The sequence below is a fragment of the Homo sapiens genome, chromosome 7, assembly GCF_000001405.40.
Source record: "Homo sapiens chromosome 7, GRCh38.p14 Primary Assembly".
In the NCBI taxonomy this organism is placed as follows: domain Eukaryota; kingdom Metazoa; phylum Chordata; class Mammalia; order Primates; family Hominidae; genus Homo; species Homo sapiens.
The window spans coordinates 98359682-98380759 of record NC_000007.14 but is presented as its reverse complement, the minus strand read 5'-3'; the positions used below and the strand labels follow the sequence as shown (position 1 = coordinate 98380759).

Below are 21078 nucleotides of genomic sequence, written 5' to 3'. Positions count from 1 at the left end.
TTTTATTAAAAAAAAAAAAAAAACGGACCGGATATGGTGGCTTATGCTTGTAATCCCAGCACTTTTTAGGAGGCTGAGGTAGGAGGATTGCTTGAGGCCAAGAGTCTGAAACCAGCCTGGGTGATATGGTTTGGCTCTGTGTCCCCACCCGAATCTCATTTTGAATTGTATTCCTATGATTTCCATGTGTTGTGGGAGGAACCTGGTGGGAGATAATTTGAGTCATGGGGGCGGTTTCCACCATACTGTCCTTATGGTAGTGAATAAGTCTCACAAGATCTGATGGGTTTATCAGGGGTTTCCGCTTTTGCTGCTTTATCATTTTCTCTTCCTGCCGCCATGTTAGAAGTGCCTTTCGCCTCCCACCATGATTCTGAGACCAGCCATGTGGAACCGTAAGTCCAGTGAAACCTCTTTTTCTTCCCAGTCTTGGGTATGTCTTTATCAGCAGCATGAAAACAGACTGATACACTGGGCAACATGGCAAGAGCCCATCTCTAGAAAAAATTTAAAAATTAGGTGGGTGTGTTGGTGCGTACCTAAAGTCCCTGCTACATGGGAGGCTGAGGCAGAAGGATCGCTTGAGTCTGAGAGTTTGAGATTACCATGAGGTCTGATCACACCACTGCACTCCAGCCTGGGTGACAGAGTGAGAGTCCCTATCTCAAAAAAAAAAAAAAAGCATTTTTGAGGTGTAATTTATACGTTATAAAATTCACGCATTTTAAGCGTACAATTTAATGGTTGTTAGTAAATTTATAAAGTTGTGCAGCCGTCACCACAATTTAAATTTATAACACTTCTGTCACCTCAAAAAGATCCTTCATCCCCATTTGCTATCATTACTCATTCTCGCTTCCAGCTCCAGGCAACCACTAATAGATTTTCTGTCTCTACAGATTTGTCTTTTCTGTACTTTTTGTAAATAGAGTCATACAGTATTTGGTCTTTTGTGACTGGCTTCTTAGCGTAATGGGTTTTATCTATGTTGTAGAGTGTCTTAATATTTTATTCCTTTTCTATGGCTGAATAATATTCTATTAAATGGATATACCACGTTTTGTTCATTCACCAGTTGATGGACATGTGGGTTGTCTCTAAACAAGATTTTTTTTAAGAGGCCACATTAATGCCTTGTATTTCACAGGGAATTTAAATGACAGCTTAGAAAAACATAGGATTGGGAAGCAAAATTCACAGACAGCCCTGGTATTTGCAGATTTGTAAGCCTGTTAGGACTTGGTAGGTAGAAGGCCGAGCCTGGCAGCTTTTGTGAACCTTGGTTGGAGTTATCGCCTTGAGCTAGGGAAGTGGCAAGCAGTGGCACCATTACCTAATGCTCAATTTTCGAGGCTGATTGACCCACGGGGCCTTTGTGTCTGTAGCGATGTGTTCAGATGAGCTGGTGGAGCTGAGGGTACAGCCTGCAGCTGGTTCGTCCGTGGGTGCAGGCATCTCTTATGAAATACAGGTGTCAGAACCTGCTGCTGCTGAGAACACTGTGAGGCATTAATCAGATGATCCAGGCAGTGTTCTTGGTGCTGGAAATGCGGTGGTGGTTACATTAAGATTCCTAGCTTTGGCCAGGCTCGGTGGCTCATGCCTGTAATCCCAGCACTTTGGGAGGCTGAAGCGGGCGGATCGCCTGAGGTCAGGAATTCGAGACCAGCCTGGCCAACCACGAGGTCAGATCACGAGGTCAGGAGATTGAGACCATCCTGGCTAACACGGTGAAACCCAGTCTCTACTAAAAATACAAAAAATTAGCCAGGCGCGGTGGCAGACGCCTGTAGTCCCAGCTACTCGGGAAGCTGAGGCAGCAGAATTGCTTGAACCGGGAGGCGGAGGTTGCAGTGAGCCGAGATCACGCCACTGTACACCAGCCTGAGCAACAGAGCGAGACTCCATCTCAAAAAAAAAAAGAGTGAGCCTTCTGCCTTGGCCTCCCAAAGTGCTGAGCCATGGACATGGTGGCGTGTGCCTATAGTCCCAGCTGCTGGAGAGGCTGAGGCACGAGAACTGCTTGAACCTGGGAGGCAGAGGTTGCAGTGAGCCGAGGTCATGCCACTGTACTCCAGGCTGCGCGACAGAGCAAGACTTAGTCTAAAAAAAAAAACATCCCTAGCCTTGATTACATGTAGTTTCTACCAAGGAGACAGAGAGTAAACAGGGAATATCTTATACAGTATGATAAGTACTTTAAAGAAAGAGAAGCCAGGAACAGAGCTAGAGAGAGGCTGGGGTTGCCACCATTTGTGGAAGAGGTCAAGGAAGGTGTCTCTGAGAGTTTGTGGGAATGGATGTGACCTGTTTGGAGAACAGCCCGGAGGCCAGTGTGCCTCAGCCCAAACCCAGGTGGAGCATGCAGCTGCAGGGAATGTCCCGGCTTTCAATGCCTCTTCCCACCCTGTGTTAAAAGGACAGAAGTCACTGATGACATTCACTTATGATGGACACGAGAACTGAGGCTAAAACACACCAGGAAACTACCTTTCATCATTTCTCTCCCCATGCTTAGCTATTTCCAGTCGTGTTATTTTTTAATGCTGATGAGAAATAGTGTATGGTACTTTTTTTTTTGTTCGTTTTTGTTTTTATTTTTGTTTTTTGAGAGACAGAGTCTTACTCTGTCACCCAGGCTGGAGTGCAATGGCACAATCCCAGCTCACTGCAACTGCCGCCTCCTAGGTTCAAGCGATTCTCCTGTCTCAGCTTCCCACAGTTCTCAGCCTGTAGCTGGAACTACAGGCATGCGCCACTATGCCCAGCTAATTTTTGTATTTTTTTTTTTTAGTAGAGATGGGGTTTCACTATGTGTTGGCCAGGCTGGTCTCGAACTCCTGACCTCAGGTGATCCGCCCGTCTCGGCCTCCCAAAGTGCTGGAATTACAGGTGTGAGCCACCACACCTGGCCTTTTTTTTTTTTTTTTTTTTTTTTTTGAGATTGAGTCTCACTCTGTCGCCCAGGCTGGAGAGTCAGTGGTGAGATACTGGCTCACTGCAGCCTCTGCCTCCTGAAGTTTAAGTGATTCTCCTGCCTCAGCCTCCTGAGTAGCTGGGATTACAGGCGCGTGCCACCACACCCAGCTAATTTTGTATATTTAATAGAAATGGGGTTTCACCATGTTAGCCAGGCTGATCTCGAACTCCTGACCTCTGGTGATCCACCCGCCTTGGTCTCCCAAAGTGCTGGGATTACAGGCGTGAGCCACCGGGCCTGGCCTAGTGTATGGTACTTTTTAAAAGATACTATTGTTTGCCTATCAAACAGGCAAAAAGTATGACAGTACCAAGTGTTGGGGAGAACATGGCAAAACAGCACTTTGACACGGTGGTTTCAGGCATGGAAATGGCTACAGTTGCTGTCTTCAAATTTGGGAGTATCTAACAAAATGGAGAAATATGTCACATACCCTGTGTCTCTGCAGTTCTGTTTCTGGGTAAATTCTTACCTGTATGTACAAGGAGACATGTATCATTCCCTACCACGTCGTCGTCATTAGCAGAAGCTCGTAAGCCATGTAAATGCCTGTCAGTCAAGAAATAGATGGGTAAAATGCAGTCTCTTTACATGATGGGATATGTATGTATATGTATATCTATATATAAGTGAAAAGATTTATTTCAAGAAATTGGCTTCCATGATTGTGGGGCTGACTAGTCCAAGATCTGTAGGGCAGCCTGGGAGCTGACTCTGTAGCCCTTAAGCAGAATATCTTCTTCCTTAGGGAAACCTCAATTTGTCCTCAGGCTTTTGACTGATTAGATTACACCCACCCTGATTATTGAAGATAATCTCTTTTATTTAAAGTCAACTTTAAATAAAAGTTGTAGTGTAGATGTTGACCATATCTACAAAATACCTTCATAGCAACGCTGTGTTTAGACAACACCGTGTTAGATTAGTGGGTTGGTTTGTTGTTGTTTGAGATGGAGTTTTGTTCTTGTTGCCTAGGCTGGAGTGCGATGGCATAATCTCAGCTCACCGCAACCTGCACCTCCCGGGTTCAAGTGATTCTCCTGCCTCAGCCCCCCGAGTAGCTGAGATTACAGGCATGCGCCACCACACCCAGCTTTTTGTGTGTTTTTTTTTTTTTTTTTTGTAAAGATGGGGTTTCTCCATGTTGGTCAGGCTGGTCTCGAACTCCTGACCTCAGGTGTTCTGCCTGCCTCGGCCTCCCAAAGTGCTGGGATTACAGGCTTGAGCCACCGCTCCCAGCCAATGGGTTGGTTTTGTTTTGTTTTTTGAGACAAGGTCTCCCTCTGCCTTGCTCAGGTTGGAGTATGGTTGTGTGATCGTGGCTCGCTGTGACCTCGACCTCTCTGGCTCAAGCAATTCTCCCATCTCAGCCTCTAAGTAGCTGGGACCACAAGCACACGCCATGCCACCCCACCTGGCTAATTTTTTTTGTTGTTTTTGGTAGAGACGGGGTCTCACTATGTTGCCCAGGCTGTTCTCAACTCCTGGACTCAAGCAGTCCTCCTGCCTCAGCCCCCCAAAGTGCTGGGATTACAGGTATGAGCTCCCGTGCCTAGCCTAGATTAGTGTTTAATTGACTGAATACTGTAGCTTTGCTACGTGGACACTTAAACCATCATAAAGGGATACCGTGTAGAAGTTAAATAGGAAGAACCTTGGTCAGTACAGACCAAGGTGAGCAGATCTCAGAAGTATAACACTGAATAAAGAAATAAGATGTAAGAGTGAAATGTATTATGTGATACCATTTAAGGATTTATGTAAGTATTTTTTAACACACAAAGCAAAATTTTATGTTAATCTTGACTAAATATATACGTGTGTGTGAAAATATAAAATATCGGCTAGATATTTAACAGCAGTCTGAATTAGTGGCTCCCCCAGGGGAGAAAAGAAAGGGTATGAGACTTGGATGGGGTGACTAAGGCATCCTGTCCTTTTATCTCTAGTGCTTTAGTGCTTTTTCAGCAAAGGGAACCAGTGTGACTGTTAACTGTTAGTAATTTTTTTTCTTTTCTTTTTTTTTTTTTTTTTTTTGAGATGGACTTTCGCTTTTGTCGCCCAGGCTGGAGTGCGGGGGTGTGATCACCGCAACCTCCGCCTCCCAGATTCAAGCGATTCTCCTGCCTCGGCCTCCCGAGTAGCTGAGATTATAGGTGCCTGCCACCATGCCTGGCTAATTTTATATTTTTAGTAGAGATGGGGTTTCTCCATATTGGTCAGGCTGGTCTCGAACTCCTTACCTCAGGTGATCTGCCAGCCTCGGCCTCCCAAAGTGCTGGGATTATAGGCATGAGCCACTGCGCCTGGCCAACTGTTAGTAATTCTTGTGGGGACTACAGGTGGTTGTGGATTCTACACTCTCACAAATTTTTTTTTTTTTTTTAAGATGGAGTGTTGTACTGTCGCCTGGGCTGGAGTGCAGTGGCCGGATGTCGGCTCACTGCAACCTCCGCCTCCCAGGTTCAAGTGATTTTCCTGCTTCAGCCTCCCGAGTAGCTGGGATTACAGGCTCTCACCACCAGGCCCAACTAAGTTTTGTTATTTTTAGTAGAGATGGGGTTTCACTATGTTGGCCAGGCTGGTCTTGGACTCCTGACCTCGTGATCCACCTGCCTCAGCCTCCCAAAGTGCTGGGATTATGGGGTGAGCCACCACGCCTGGCCTTTTTGTTTTTGTTTTTTGTTTTTTTTGAGACAGGGTCTCACTGTGTCACCCAAGCTGGAGTGCAATGGCACAATCTCGGCTCATTGAAACCTCCGCCTCCTGGGGTCAAGCACTTCTCCTCCCTCAGCCTCCCAAGTAGCCAGGACCACAGGTACACACTGCTACGCCCAGCTAATTTTTTGAATTTTTGGTAGAGACAGGGTTTTGCTATGTTGCTTAGGCTGGTCTTGAACCCCTGACCTCAAGCGATCCTCCCACCTTGGCCTCCCAAAGTGCTGGAATTACAGGCATTAGCCACGATGCCTGGCCAGATTCACCTTTTTCTTTCTTCCATTTTATTTTATTTTTTTTATGGGAAAGAAGAGAGAGAGGGTCAGACGTATTTGCCCAGGCAGAATTGCTCGACATTATGCTATTAGATTAATTATATTCACCAAAAATCAGGAGTAAGATTATAAGAAAGCTTCTAAAAAGAAAAAAAAAAGTACTATAGAGACACCTACAATCACTCATACTAAAATATGTCAGTGCTCTGATCTCATAAAATGCATTTTCATCTCACTTTTTTTCACCATTCATTTGAAGGAACTATTGAGGCCTAAGGCAAAGGACAGTAGGGAAACTGCCTGGAGCTGACTCCACCCCACCTCTCGCTGCTGGTAGGACCTTCAGCAGGGTTTTAAAATGCAACATTTCAAAGCTTTGGTATCTTGTCTATCAAGTGGGATTAATAACAGCCACGATGTTAGGATCAGTTGAGACAATCCATGTAAAATGTTAGACATAGAGCCGGATTCATAGTAGCCCTCTGTAAATGTTAAAATGTGCCTCAAATGGAAAAAATTAATGACATAAATGTTCTAGGGCCAGATGTGGTGGCTCACACCTGTAATCCCAGCACTTTGGGAGGCTGAGGTAGGAGGATTGCTTGAGTCCAGGAGTTCAAGGCCAGCCTGGGCAACATAGCAAGACCCCATCTCTACAAAAAATCCAAAAATTAGTCGGATATGGTTTGCGTCTGTAGTCCCACCTACTCGGAGGCTGAGGTGGGAGGAGTGCTTGATCTCAGGAGGTCAAGGCTGCAGTAAACCATGTTCTTGCCTCTATACTCCAGCCTGGGCAACACAGCAAGACCCTATCTCAAAATAAATAAATGTTCTCAACTGAATAAAGCAGAAGATCATAACACCTTCAATGTCCTTTGTCCCGTACCCTTCTCCAGAGGTTCTGTGTTCATGATCTCCCTCGTCCTGATGATGACACCAGGGTGGAAGAGCTGATACCAGTTAACAGGAAGTGGAGGTTCCTGGAGATACCTGTGTAAATAGGAGTGTTCCTCTGTTTGGAGACTTGACTCATATTTTAGAGCTTTTCTCTTAGAATATTAATTACTACAGTTGGTTCAGTGTGTACTGAGTATCAAGTGCTTGCAGAGTACATGATAAGCACTCCATAATGTTAAGCTGCCTCACTGAATCCTCATGCCCCTCATGAGCTAGAAAGTATCATGATTCCCATTGTAGACAGGAAGAGACTCAGGCTTTCTAGAGGCTCACAGAGGTGGTGATGTGATTTGCCCAAGAATTCAAGGCCAAATTTTCTTTCTGCCAAGTTCCCCACACCTTCCAGGCCCATTGCTATTGAGATGGCATCTTATAAGTTACAGATAATGCAAACTAATACATAATGCAAGATAGCTAATATAATAGCTAATATAGACCAATAGGTAACCAAAACATTACTCATATTTGACCAACAAAAAGCATTTTTGTGGGTTTATATATTTCAATGAGTATTTCTGATCTAACTCAATACCTCAAAGGAAACATCTCAGTTGTCTAATTTTTCTGTACTTGGCTTGTGCTCCAAATTCATGATGGGTATGAACAGCATGACTCTTGTGACCATCTGTTAGCCCACAGGCAGCTGTCTCCTTGCCAGATTTGCTTACTAATACTTTCCCTAAAGGAAGAGCAGGTGATCAAGTATTGGTGATGTTAGTCCAGGAACAGCAGCTTCCAGCAACACTTAAGGAAGAAGGAAGCAAGATTTCCTACAAATAAAATTGATCTTGACCGGGCGTGCTGGCTCGCACCTGTAGTCCCAGCACTTTGGGAGGCCAAGGCGGCCAGATCACCTGAGGTCAGGAGCTCGAGACCAGCCTGGCCAACATGGCGAAACCCCATCTCTACCAAGAATACAAAAATTAGCTGGGCGTGGTGGTGGGTGCCTGTAATCCCACCTACTCCTTAGGCACGAAAACCGCTTGAACTCAGGAGGCAGAGGTTGCAGTGAGCCGAGATCAGGCCACTGGCCACTACATTCCAGCCTGGGAGACAGAGCGAGACTGTGTCTCAAAAAAAAAAAAAAAAAAAAAAACCAAAATCGATCTTGACATATCCTCAGTTAACCCTCATTACAGCTATTTTTGCTACATGACATTAGCATGTACCTTGATTGGTTTGAACATTTGTGATGTCACTCGGTTAATTTGTATGAGATAGTATAGAATAAAATAATATATAAAATTTCAAGGATACATACGTTACAAGCCACAGAACTGCATATTTACTTAGAGATTCTTAAACCACTTTTAATGCTTATTTATCATAAATGTTACACTTTTAGCTGAGAAAAACAAAGCACTAAAATATCAAATAATTTGTCCTTGTTCATATAGAGAATTTTTGTTTTGTTTTGTTTTTTTGAGACTGAGTTTCGTTCTGTCACCCAGGCTGCAGAGCAGTGACGCCATCTCAGCTCACTGCAACCTCCACCTCCTGGATTCAAGCAATTCTCCTGCCTCAGCCTGCTGAGTAGCTGGGACTACAGGCGCCCGTCCCCATGCCCAGCTAATTTTTGTATTTTTAGTAGGGAGGGGGTTTCACTATGTTGCCCAGGTTGGTCTCGAACTCCTGACCTCAGGTGATCCGACCGCCTTGCCTCCCAAAGTGCTGGGCTTACAGACGTGAGCCAACACACCCGGCCTATACAGAACTACTAAAAGAAACTAAAAGAGGGCCGGGCGCGATGGCTCACGCCTGTAATCCCAGCACTTTGGGAGGCGGAGGCAGGTGGATCACGAGATCAGGAGATCGAGACCATCCTGGCTAACACTGGTGAAACCCCGTCTCTCTAAAAATACAAAAAACTAGCCAGGTGCAGTGGCGGGCATCTGTAGTCTCAGCTACTCGGGAGGCTGAGGCAGGAGAACGGTGTGAACCCGGGAGGCGGAGCTTGCAGTGAGCCGAGATTGCGCCACTGCACTACAGCCTGGGTGACAGAGCGAGACTCCGTCTCAGAAAAAAAAAAAAAGAAACTAAAAGAGAAACTAATTTTTAAAAGTTTAAAGTCCACTCAGCTTATCTGGCTAGTCATAATTGAATTAATGTATACTTTATTATAAATGTACACAGTTAATTTATGTATAGTTCCATACTGGTAATTCTTTGAAAATGAGTTATAAAAAGTCCATATGCTAAGGAAGTTAAAACCGTCATAAGATTGCATCATTCATTTCTCATAATTATTCTTAATTCATAATTATGATCTGTAACTTTACAGAGGCAGTAGAAATGCCGAGGTAAACAGGGCAGCTAGAAATCTGGTGAATAGTGTGTGCTGGTTCCAGCGGAACTGTTCTCCAACATTTTATTTAGAATAGCTAATCACTAATTTTCCAGTACCGCTAAGGTTTTGCGGTAGAACCAAGCTTCTTTTTATGCGACTCAGCACAAGTAGAAGAGTGATATTACCATTAGCCTAGAATGTATTGTGCAACCATAACTATGCATGCCCTTCCCTGGATGGAAATGAAACTCATTCTGGTTAAAACCAGTTTGGCAGAGTATCCTTGCCAGGCAGTAATCGATAGAGATATAGACTAAGCTATTGCTATTTTTTTTTCTTAGTAACAGTGCTGCTTGGCCCATTTATAATTTTTCTGTTCACTTTGTTAAGATTCACTTGGTATCCTAAGCCCTTTAATTCTTAGTGCCAAACTTAAATTAAAATGGATTTGTTCATTACTCCTGATGACTCTTAACATTGTAGGCTGTTTAACAATTCAGGTCTTCACAAGCCTTGCAGTAGCACCGACCTTTGCCTCAACTACAGCTCTCCCCCAAAATGTGGGACCCTTTCTATTCACAAGTGTGTCCACAACTACTATAAAACTTTATAGATTCTGGAATACAAAGGCAGCATTGCTTTTTTTGTCCCTGGGTTTAAAAATAACATGTACTTCAGCTAAAATAACTAGGTGAAGAGCCAATATAGGAATGGATTTTCCACTGTTAGAAAGACCAAAATTGGCCAGGCGCGGTGGCTCACACCTGTAATCCCAGCACTTTGGGAGGCCGAGGCGGACGGATCATGAGGTCAGGAGATCGAGACCATCCTGGCTAACATGGTGAAACCCCGTCTCTACTAAAAATACAAAAAATTAGCTGGGCATGGTGGCGGGCGCCTGTAGTCCCAGCTACTCAGGGGGCTGAGGCAGGAGAATGGCGTGAACCCAGGAGGCGGAGCTTGCAGTGAGCCGAGATCGCGCCACTGCACTCCCTGGGCGACAGTGCGAGACTCTGTCTCAAAAAAAAAGCCAAAATTTCTGGGAGGGAACATTTCTGTAGCTGAACCTACGTACAGTAATAAAGAAGTATATATGTTGAACTTTTCAAGCTTAAAAACTCAGTATTGACTACAAACTGTAGTTGCAAATCTTTTTTTTTTTTTTTTTTTGAGACGGAGCCTTACTCTGTTGCCAGGCTGGAGTGCAGTGGCGCAATCTCAGCTCACTGCAACCCCGCGTCCCGGGTTCAAGGAATTCTCTTGTCTCAGCCTCCTGAATAGCTAGGACTACAAGCACCCGCCACCATGCCTGGCTAATTTTTGTGTTTTTAGTAGAGATGGGGTTTCGCCACATTAGCCAGGATGGTCTCGATCTCTTGACCTTGTGAGCCACTGCGCCCAGCCTAGTCTCAAGTCTTAGTTGAACTTTTTTTTTTCCCCCTCTGGTAGAATCATTTGGATAGGGATTTGTGTATGGTGTTAACTGTGGAAGTTCTCATTCATTTGTTGTTCTTCGTATTTTAAGATGTTAGGGTTATATGTGAACATTTTAAGAATTATATCAGGAAATTGGTTGGGTATGATGGCTCATGCCTGTAATCCCAGCACTTTGGGAGGCTGAGGCGGATGAATCACTTGCGGTCAGGAGTTCAAAACCAGCCTGGGCAACACGGTGAAACACCATCTCTACTAAAAAAACAAAAATTAGCTGGGTGTGGTAGCAGGCATCTGTAATCCCAGTTACTTGGGAGGCGGAGGCACAAGAGTTGCGTGAACCCAGGAGGTGGAGGTTGCAGTGAGCCGAGATGGCACCATTGCACTCCAGCCTGGGCGACAGAGCAAAGCTCTAGCTCAAAAAAAAAAAAAAAAAAAAAAAAAATTAGGAAATCAAATGAGACTTTCCTCCTATTGTATTTGGAGAAGGAATATCCGCAGGAAAGAACAGATCTGGGCTGCTTTCTGTGGTGCTCATATGTTATTGGGCAGGGTCGGCTCTCTGTCAGTTTTCTTATATTTTTACCTACACCCAGCCTCATAAGAATATCATATGAATTTTTTATTTTTCAAGACAGGGTCTCGCTTTATCGCCCAGGCTGGAGTGCAGCGGCACGATCTCACTGCTACCTCCGTCTCTTGAGTTCAAGCGATTCACCTACCTCAGCCTCCTGAGTAGCTGGGACTACAGGCACCCACCGCCGTGCCCAGCAAATTTTTGTATTTTTGGTAGAGATGGGGTTTCACCACGTTGCCCAGGCTAGTCTCGAATTCCTGGGCTCAAACAGCCCACCTCCCTCGGCCTCCCAAAGTGCTTGGGATTACAGGCATGAGTCACCACGCATGGCCTGTAATAATTTTCAGTAACTTTAAAATAGTTTTGTCTTTTAATTAGAAAGTAGCTGTGTGCTAATGAAATTATCAGATTTTGAAAATGAGTGAAATCTCCGAGTGCTAATGGGAAAGTAAAATGGTGCAGCTGTTCTGAAAAAAAAAAAAAAAAAGTTTGGCAGTTTCTTAAAAAGTTAAACACGTGCCTACCATGTGACGCAGCCATTGAACCCCCAGGTTATCCTAGAGATACGAAAACGTAAGCTCACATAAAAACCTGTATGCGATCGCTCATAGCAGCTTTGCTTGGAATTGTCAAAACCTGGAAACAAGCCAGGTCTTCAACAAGTATGTGGATAAACAAACTGCAATATATCCATACCATGGAATGCTACTAGCCAAAAAAAAAAAATAAAAAGTGATAAACTACATCCAACAACTTGGATACATCTTAAGGCATTGTGCTGGGTGAAAAGGGCAAATCTTAAAATGCCACATACGATACGATTCCTTTTTTGTTATTTTTTTGAGACAGAGTCTTGCTCTGTCACCAGGCTAGAGTGCAGTGGTGCGATCTCGACTCAATGCAACCTCCGCCTCCTAGGTTCAAATGATTCTCCTGCCTCAGCCCCCCAAGTAGCTGGGATTACAAGCACGCACCACCACACCCAGCTAATTCATGTATTTTTAGTAGAGGCGGGGTTTCACCATGTTGGCCAGAATGGTGTCGATCTTCTGACCTTGTGATCCACCCGCCTCGGCCTCCCATGATTCTTTTGTTTTGTTTTGTTTTGTTTTTGAGATGGAGTCTCACTCTGTCACCCAGGCTGGAGTGCAATGGCACGGTCTCAGCTCACTGCAACCTCTGCCTCCCAGATTCAAGCAATTCTCCGGCCTCAGCCTCCTGAGCAGCTGGGATTACAGGCAAACGCCACCACGCCCGCTAATTTTTGTATTTTTTAGTAGAGACAGGGTTTCACCATGTTGGCCAGGCTGGTCTTGAACTCCTGACCTCAGGTGATCTGCCCAACTTGGCCTCCCAAAATGCTGGGATTACAGGCATGAGCCACTGCACCCGGCCATGATTCCTTTTATATAACATTCTCACAATGACAGAATCATAGATTGAGCTCAGGAATTGCCAGAGGTGAGGATTGGTGAGGAGGAGGGCATGATTATTAAGTGGCAGCACAAAAGAGGCGTGTGTGTTAGTGGAACAGTTCCGTATTTTACTTGCGGTGATGGTCGTGGCAACCTACATGTATGATAAAATTTCATAGAAATGATGAAACCCGGCCAAGCGTGGTGGCTCACGCCTGTAATCCCAGCACTTTGGGAGGCCGAGGCAGGTGGACCATCTGAGGTCGGGAGTTCAAGACCAGCCTGACCAACATGGCGAAACCCCATCTCTATTAAAAATGCAAAAATTGGGCTGGCCGCAGTGGATCACAAGGTCAGGAAATCGAGACCATCCTGGCTAACAGTGAAACCCGTCTCTACTAAAAATACAAAAAATTAGCCGGGCGTGGTGGTGGGTGCCTGTAGTCCCAGCTACTCGGGAGGCTGAGGCAGGAGAATGACGTGAACCCCAGAGGCAGAGCTTGCAGTGAGCCGAGATTGCGTCACTGCACTCTAGCCTGGGCGACAGAGCGAGACTCCGTCTCACAAAAAAAAAAAAAAAAAGCCAGGTGTGGTGGTGCGCGCCTATAATCCCATCTACTCAAGAGGCTGAGGCAGGAGAATTGCTTGAACCGGGGAGGCAGAGGTTGCAGTGAGCTGAGATCGTACCACTGCACTCCAACCTGGGCAACAGAGCAAGACTCTGTCTCAAACAAAGAAAAAAGAAATGATGAAACCTTCCCCCAAAAATGAGTGATACAAAAAGTGGGAAAATCCAAATAAGGTCTGTAGTTGAGTTAATAGAACTGTAGCAGTGACAGTTTCCTGGGTTTGATAATATACTATGGTTATAGAAGATACCATTGCAGGAAGCATACCTGGGAACTCTGTGTATTATTTTTACAACTCTTATGAGTCTTAAACTATTTCAAAGAAGCTCCAAAACAAAAGAATTGAGAAGAGATGACAGAAATAACAGCTGTGGACAGACCAGCCTGGACAACATAGCAAGACCCTGTCTCTTAAAAAAAAAAAAAAAATTTAATTACCTGGGCATGGTGGCACACACCTCCCAGCTACTCGGGAAGCTGAAGCAGGAGGATCACTTGAGCCCAAGAGTTTGGGGCTACAGTGTGTGGTGATCATGCCACTGCACGCCAGCCTGTGTGACAGATCAAAACCCTGTCTCAGAAAGAGAAGAAGGAAGAAAGGAGGGAAGAAGGGATGGAGGGAAGAAAAGAAAAAAAGCAAAGCAAAGAAAAAGAGCAGCTGTGGCTACGTAATGAGGCTTTGCCATCTTGTAGAGAGGATCGTGGGGGAGTTGGCTGGCTCTGGGGCTTCCTGGCCACTGGTTGCGCGTAGGTGCCAAGCACCTGACTGCGTCTAGTGATACCAGGTGAGCGGGCTTCCAGGCAGGCATGGGAGAGGCACCTTGTGTATTTTATTTTCTTCCTTTTGAGAACCCATTAAAATGATGGCAAAGGAATTAAAAACAATACCCAATAAATCCACAGTGCAAAAAGACCTGGAAAACATCCATTGACAAGAGACCTAAAGAAATCTGGGGTGATAGGAAATGGACAGAGAGTGCTCAGTGACCTCAGAGAGCCTGAAGAACCTGGGGAAAGGAGTCTGATGGAAACTGAGCCATTCACCCCAGGGGCCCCAGAGGCTGAGGACTGGGCCGCAGAAGGTGGGGGCAGGAATCGGAGTCTGGTGCACAGGGTGGCGGAGCTCCTGGCTTCCCTTCCCTACCCCAGCCACCACCACCAGCAGCTCCCTCTGGCAGAGCAGAGATTTAACCTCAGGATAATCTGAGGTGCTCTAGACTTGGAAACAGCAGCCAAGGGTGGAGGAGGCAGAACTCTGAGCTGAAAACAGAGGAGTTCCTGAAAATCAGCTCCAAACTGTCCAGTCCCGGCCCCCTTCCTGACTGCGAAAGCTGACCATCCGATGATTGTCCCCCACCCAATGACAGGAAATTAGAAACTTCTCAGCAGAAGCCCAGTGGCCCCTGATGACTGTAGAGTGGCCATTGGCTTGGAATGAAGCCAGCAAGTCAGCCACTACCCTGTGCACACACCCACAGCTTCCAGCCGGCAGTGACGGGCTGCACGCCTCAATACAAACTGGCCATCAGGGATCACCACACGTTTGAGGAGAGTCTCTAACATGAAAGACAGGGATATCAAACAGTGAAAGGTAATCAGGAGATGATACGGGAACTAGAATAAAACACACCAAAAAATTCAGACAGGAGAAGATACTGCATCTATAAAACAAGAACAGGAGAGTACTTTTAAAAAGAAGCAATCAAAAGGCTGGGCGTGGTGGCTCACACCTGTAATCCCAGCACTTTGGGAGGCCAGGGCGGGCAGATTGCTTGAGCTCAGGAGTTTTAGACCAGTCTGGGCAACATGGCAAAACCCTGTCTCTACCAAAAATACAAAAAATTAGCCAGGCGTGGTGGCGCATGCCTGTGATCCACCCCCCGCAGCTACTTGGGAGGTTGGGGCACGAGGATCACTTGAGCCTGGGAGGCCGAGGTTGTAGTGAGCCAGGATCACACCACTGCACTCCATCCTGGGCAACGGAGTGAAACTCCATCTCAAAAACCAAACCAAAACAAAAAGAGCAATCAAGAAACATGAACATGCTCTTAGAAATTAAGATATATCAAATTCAAAAAATAGAATTGGAACATAAAGTTGAGGATATCTGTTAGCGTTATAGAACAAAACTACTGAAAGTGGAAAATCAAAAAAGATTAGAGAATAAATCCAGGATATATAAAATCTTCATCAGAGTTCCAGAAAGAATGAAGAGACAAGAAATAAAACAGGAATGATATTTGTACCTGAAGGACATAATTTTCCACATGGCTAGGGGTCCCACTGAGTGTCCGGTAAAATAAATGAAAAACAAACAAAAAAAATGCTGGGACAGACCATGGTGCAATTTCAGAACACAGGAATAAAGAGAAGGCTTCCAGAAATAAGCTTTAAAAAAAAGTCACATAGGAAGAAATGGCAGCTGACTTCAGCAGACCCAGATGCTAAAGACAGTGGAGTAATAGCTCTTTTTTTTTTTTTTTTTTTTTTTTTTTTTTTTTGAGACATATCCTCACTCTGTCACCCAAATTGGAGTGAAGTGGTGCAGTCACAACTAACTGCAGCCTCAAACTCCTGGGCTCAAGTGATCCTCTCACCTCAGCCTCCCAAGTAGCTGGGACCACAGCCACAAGCCACCACCCTTGGCTAATTGTTTTTATTTTTTGTAGCGATGGGAGTCTCGATATGTTGTCCAGGTTGGTCGCAAACTCCTGGGCTCAAGTGGTGATCCTCCCACTTCAGCCTCCCAAAGTTCTGGGATTACAAGCATGAGCCATCACGCCTGACCAAGTGATGTCTTAAAAATTCTAAGGAAAATAGTTTCAATCTACTCTGCTCTACTCAGCAAAATAGCAAACGTCAAGGTAAAGATAATTTCAGACACACGGGGACTCAGATTTACCTCTCACGCATTAGTTCTTAGATCATTTTTGGAATGTGATCTCCATTTTGGAGAAATAGGAAGACGTGGACCTACCTGGCTGACAAGAGCGCTGCCACAGGCCACCAGGAGGGCCATGCTAGGGCAATCGTGACAGTCAAGCCACACTGAGCAAGATGGTGGAGAGTCCTTAGAGGAAGTCAAGGGAAAAACGGAACAGGAGATTAGCTGAGAGTTTTGTACATTTGAAAAATAACACTGATAGGCCTCAGCCAAGTCTAATACAGCATGGGGACAAGTTTAAGGTAGATAAACAGAAAACTAAGCAAAGGTGGCGGGGCGGAAAGAAACAATTGTCCATCCCAGGAAAAACAGCCAGGCTTTACTGAGAAAGGGAACCATCAGCCTTAGTGCAAAGTCATAATGAACACTGACTATAGTTTCATCAGCAAATTGCCATCTAATTGCATAGAAAGTCCATTGGAAAGGAAGAGTGAGAGGTATAGAGACCTGAGGCCTCATCTGCTGTCGTAGGAAGCTGCAGTTACTCCCCAAAATCAAGAAATCAAGAATATTTAAAAAAAAAAAGAATATTCAAAACTGCAGCAATAAATACAAAAATAGGAGCATAGTTGAAAGTGCTCTCGGGCATAAGACCAGGGCTATGGAAAGGTCGAGGCATGGGTTGTTTTTCATTGTTATCACAGTTTGATTAAAAACAAGAGTCGTCCTATTCTCTCTCTCCTCCTGATTCATTTATTCTGAAGGGTATGTGTGTAAAGCACCTGCCTCTTTGAATGTTGGGTAGTTGTTCATTCTTTTTTGCATCTGGTCGTCTATATAAATGGAGCATGCATTTGGGGAAGGGGTCGGTGAGACTTGAATGGTCTCTTTGGGGTGATTAATATCATGAAGCTTATTGTTCCTAGATGGAACAAACACATAACAATCGCCACGTGTTGTGAGTCGTGAAGTCTGAGTACCGTAGGAATGACTTATTGTCTGTACTTCAAAGTTAGGGTATTTTAAAATTTAGACCCACGTCCTAAATAGTTATTTGTCTTATACTTGTCCTAGCATTTGTCTTTATGACTTTCTGCTGATACAGGAATAACACGTGTTGAAATGAAACCTGGACACTGGCTGCACCATGAAATCCATGAGAGGGAAACTGTGCCTTCTAATCCTTAGCTGTGTGCACAGGGTCTGGCCCATGGTAGTTACTCCACACAACTTTGGTGAATAAACCAATCAGTGGGAAAATGCCAGGGAGGCAGGGCGCAGTGGCTCGTGCCTGTAATCCCAGCATTTTGGGAGGCCAAGGTACGCGGATAACCTGAGGTCAGGAGTTCGAGACCAGCCTGGCCAACATGGTGAAACCCCGCCTCTACTAAAAATATAAAAATTAGCTGGGTGTGGTGGTGGGCTCCTGTAATCCCAGCTACTCGGGAGGCAGGGGCAGGAGAATTGCTTGAACCTAGTAGGCGGAGGTTGCAGTGAGCTGAGATCGTGCCACTGTACTCCAGCCTGGATGACAGAGTGAGACTCCGTCTCAAAAAAAAAAAAAAAAAAAAAAAAAGAAAAAATGCCAGGGACATCCAGAAGTTTCCAGGCAGGCCTGTGTCCTGGGGCCATCAGCAACATGCTACCAATGCCCCCTTTCACGTCCCTCCCCGCCCACACCCCTATAATTAGGCAGAGTAAAAACAAAATCTCCTGGAAATTTCTATTCAGTGGATAGAAATTCATCGAAATCTATTTGAAACATTGCCTTTGTAAGTAAGTACAGGTAGCTGATCCTCCACAGGCGTTCCTTAACACTAGAATGAGAACCATTAGCAATCCACTCAAACCCAAGAGGATGCCAGGCCTACAGTCCCTGCAGGGTATGGTAGAGACATGAATGACTGCTGCCTGCTCCGCTTATAGCAGATTCCAGGCAGCCTCTTGGGCAACTGAGAACTGCCAGGGTTACGGGCACCTTGCCACCTGTGAGCCCTGTTCCATCAGGTAAGGGAATAGGTGTGCTTCATTATTTTTACATCAGCATTCATTACTTTGTAGACTGTGCTGTTAGGCATCCATAGCTATCCTGGGCCACACAGTGACAAAATCTGAAGATGACTTGGTTTATTTTTTATTTTATTAATTTGTGTGTTTTGTTTGTTTGGCAGAATGTTATGGAACAGTTCAATCCTGGGCTGCGAAATTTAATAAACCTGGGGAAAAATTATGAGAAAGCTGTAAACGGTAAGTCTGTTTTTCTGAATTGATTATATATAAAGCCACTCAGTAAATATGTAATTATTTTTAAATGCTTAGTATTGAATTTTTAAATACCTTTAAGTGGTTAAAAATTGTTCACAATGAATTTAATCTACAGAACTTTGCAATGACAGTACACAATGATATTAGCGTATTTGAAACAAGTCAATTGAATGAAAGTGAGGGTACTCTAAGTGATGTCTTTTAACTATAAAACCGTGCTTTCTACTTTTAAAACCAAATTCTTGGTAAACTAACAAATATAAAATGTGTACATGAGACATTTATAAGTTAGGGTCCTACAGCACAGAAATTATTCTCCTTTTATGTATATAAAAGAATTTCTTGTCTTTAGATGTATCACTTTTTTCATCTTTTTTTCCCCGATGTGTCACTTTTGATAGTTACATGAGAAACAATATTTTTAGCTTGAATGAAATTAGCTGCACGTGGTGGTGCGCGCCTGTAGTCCCAGCTACTCAGGAGTGTGTGGCGGGATGATCGCTTGTGCCTGGGAGGCTGAGGCTGTAATGAGCTGTGATAGTGCCACTGCACCCCAGCCTGAGCAACAGAGTAAGGGTCTGTCTCAAAAAAGAAAAAAAAGAAGAAATTTTTTTTAGCCTGAATGGAAAAACATCTAAATTAAACAGTTGGACTTAGGTTCTCATTTCAAAATATATGCTTCATTTAAAATGAACTTGAGTATTGCTATTGGCCTGTCTTTGTGATTAAAATGCATCAGTGATCACCTTAAAAACGCTAGCAATCACCAAATTCTAACATGGGCAAGACAGTTCTTCCCCAAAATGTAGCAAGTATCACCCCAAAACACTCAGACCCCAGTTTCACCCTCTCCCACCGCTCTACTTTTGTCACCAAGTAACATAAGTAGAAATGTAGTTTCTGACAGATTTGAAGGCAGCTTCAGATCAAGTTTTACATCTTCTTATCTCTTCTTTCTTTCTTTCTTTCTTTTTTTTTTTCCCAGACAGAGTCTTGCTCTGTCGCCCAGGCTGGAGTGCAGTGGAACAATCTCGGCTCACTGCAACCTCTGCCTCCCAGGCTCAAGCGATTCTTCTGCCTCAGCCTCCCAAGTAGCTGGGATTATAGGTGTACACCACCATGCCCAGCTAATTTTTGTATTTTTAGTAGAGATGGGGTTTCACCATGTTGGCCAGGCTGGTCTCGAACTCCTGACCTCAGGTAATCCACTCCCCTCAGCCTCCCAAAGTGCTAGGATTATAAACTTAAGCCACCACACCCAGCCTCTTATCTTTTTTGCCATACTGGTTGCTCCCTGTTGATATTTTGAAAATAAACCTGTGGCCTCACTCTCGCTCAGCATGAACCTGCCCCAGGAAAGGGTGTGAGCTGGCTAGACTGTGGACTCTGGGTGAGGAGGAGCACCATTGTGTGTAGTCGCTGGAAAAGTATACTGCTCATTTACTCTTCTGCCTTGCTGTGCTTTCGGAGATTTCAGCAGCAGGAAATGCAGCAGGTCTGGGATTTTGCTCCCTTGCCCTCCAGTGGTCCCCGTGACTTCTGCAAGTGCCCCTGTCCTCCAGAAAGCCAGAGCTGTGCACTGCTGACTCTCCCTCGAAGATTGCTTAGTCACAAGGCCACAAAGTCATTGCTTTAGATGTCCTTGTGAAGGAAATCACTGTGACCTGCAGTTTTTTTTTCTTTCTAGCATGAGCTGCCTCTTTTTTTTTTTTTCTTTCTAGCATGAGCTGCAGAGTTTTACAAGGTGAGCCAGTGAGCTGCCTACAGCTTAGCTTCCTGCTAACAAGGCTTCTCCCCAAAGGGCTCTTGACACTTTAGCACCTCCTGGGGAGTAAATACTTCAGAAGGTATTTCCAGAATTTCTGCAGGCCATCTGGTTGTGCCTTTGCTGAAGCCATTGAGAAATGTAGGTAAATGTGTAAAGTCCTTGGTGAGAATTTGGAAATAGTTGAGGCTGCCAGGTGTGCAGTCCACAGTTACGTTAGAACACAAGGCAGGCTGGGCGTGGTGGCTCGTGCCTGTAATTCCAGCACTTTGGGAGTCTGAGACAGGAGGATAGCTTTAGCCCAGGAATTCGAGACCCCGTCACTACAAAAAAAATTTAAAAATTAGCTCAGGCCAGGCGCGGTGGTTCACGCCTGTAATCTCAGCAATTTGGGAGGCCGAGGTGGGCAGATCACCTGAGGTCAGAAGTTCGAAACCAGCCTGGCCAAAATGGTAAATCCCTGTCTCTACTAAAAATACAAAATTTAGCCGGGAGTGGTGGCACGTGCCTGTGATCCCAACTACGTGGGAGGCTGAGGCAGGAGAATCACTTGAACCCGGGAGGCAGAGGTTGCAATGAGCCAAGATCATGCCACTGCACTCCAGCCTGGGCAACAGAGTGAGACTCGGCCTCAGAAAAAAAAAAAAATTAGCTGGGCATGGTGGCATGCTCCTGTGGTCCTACCTATCAGGAGCCTGGGGTGGGAGGATTGCTTGAGTCCAGAAGTTCGAGGCTGCAATGAGCTGTGATTGTACCACTGCACTCCAGCCTAGGAGACAGAGCAAGACCCTGTCTCAAAAAAATTAAAAAAAAAAAAAAAAAAAAAAACCCAGGTCTACAGGTGAATGGCTAGGAGCATTGTACAGACCAGTGTCACAAGAATTTGAGTGGT

At 44.9% G+C, this 21078-nt stretch overlaps 1 protein-coding gene across 1 annotated transcript in view, besides 3 other annotated features; it reads left to right on the top strand.

Annotated features, from left to right (window-relative positions):
* The window catches only part of BAIAP2L1 (BAR/IMD domain containing adaptor protein 2 like 1), a 109441-nt gene that overhangs the window by 20331 nt on the left and 68032 nt on the right, over nucleotides 1–21078 (top strand). Inside the window, exon 2 of the mRNA NM_018842.5 lies at nucleotides 18328–18403. Within this exon, the coding sequence (NP_061330.2) occupies nucleotides 18328–18403 (76 nt within the window). The remainder of the gene's footprint in view (nucleotides 1–18327; nucleotides 18404–21078) is intronic.
* Nucleotides 17590–18351: an enhancer, noted in NCBI's record as "OCT4-NANOG hESC enhancer chr7:97991721-97992482 (GRCh37/hg19 assembly coordinates)". NCBI's record gives its function as "activates a minimal SCP1, AML or CMV promoter by ChIP-STARR-seq in naive and primed H9 embryonic stem cells {active_cell/tissue: H9 hESC(naive and primed)}" and the evidence as "EXISTENCE:reporter gene assay evidence [ECO:0000049][PMID:30033119]".
* Nucleotides 19302–20181: an enhancer, noted in NCBI's record as "NANOG-H3K27ac-H3K4me1 hESC enhancer chr7:97989891-97990770 (GRCh37/hg19 assembly coordinates)". NCBI's record gives its function as "activates a minimal SCP1, AML or CMV promoter by ChIP-STARR-seq in primed H9 embryonic stem cells {active_cell/tissue: H9 hESC(primed)}" and the evidence as "EXISTENCE:reporter gene assay evidence [ECO:0000049][PMID:30033119]".
* Nucleotides 20182–21059: an enhancer, noted in NCBI's record as "NANOG-H3K27ac-H3K4me1 hESC enhancer chr7:97989013-97989890 (GRCh37/hg19 assembly coordinates)". NCBI's record gives its function as "activates a minimal SCP1, AML or CMV promoter by ChIP-STARR-seq in naive H9 embryonic stem cells {active_cell/tissue: H9 hESC(naive)}" and the evidence as "EXISTENCE:reporter gene assay evidence [ECO:0000049][PMID:30033119]".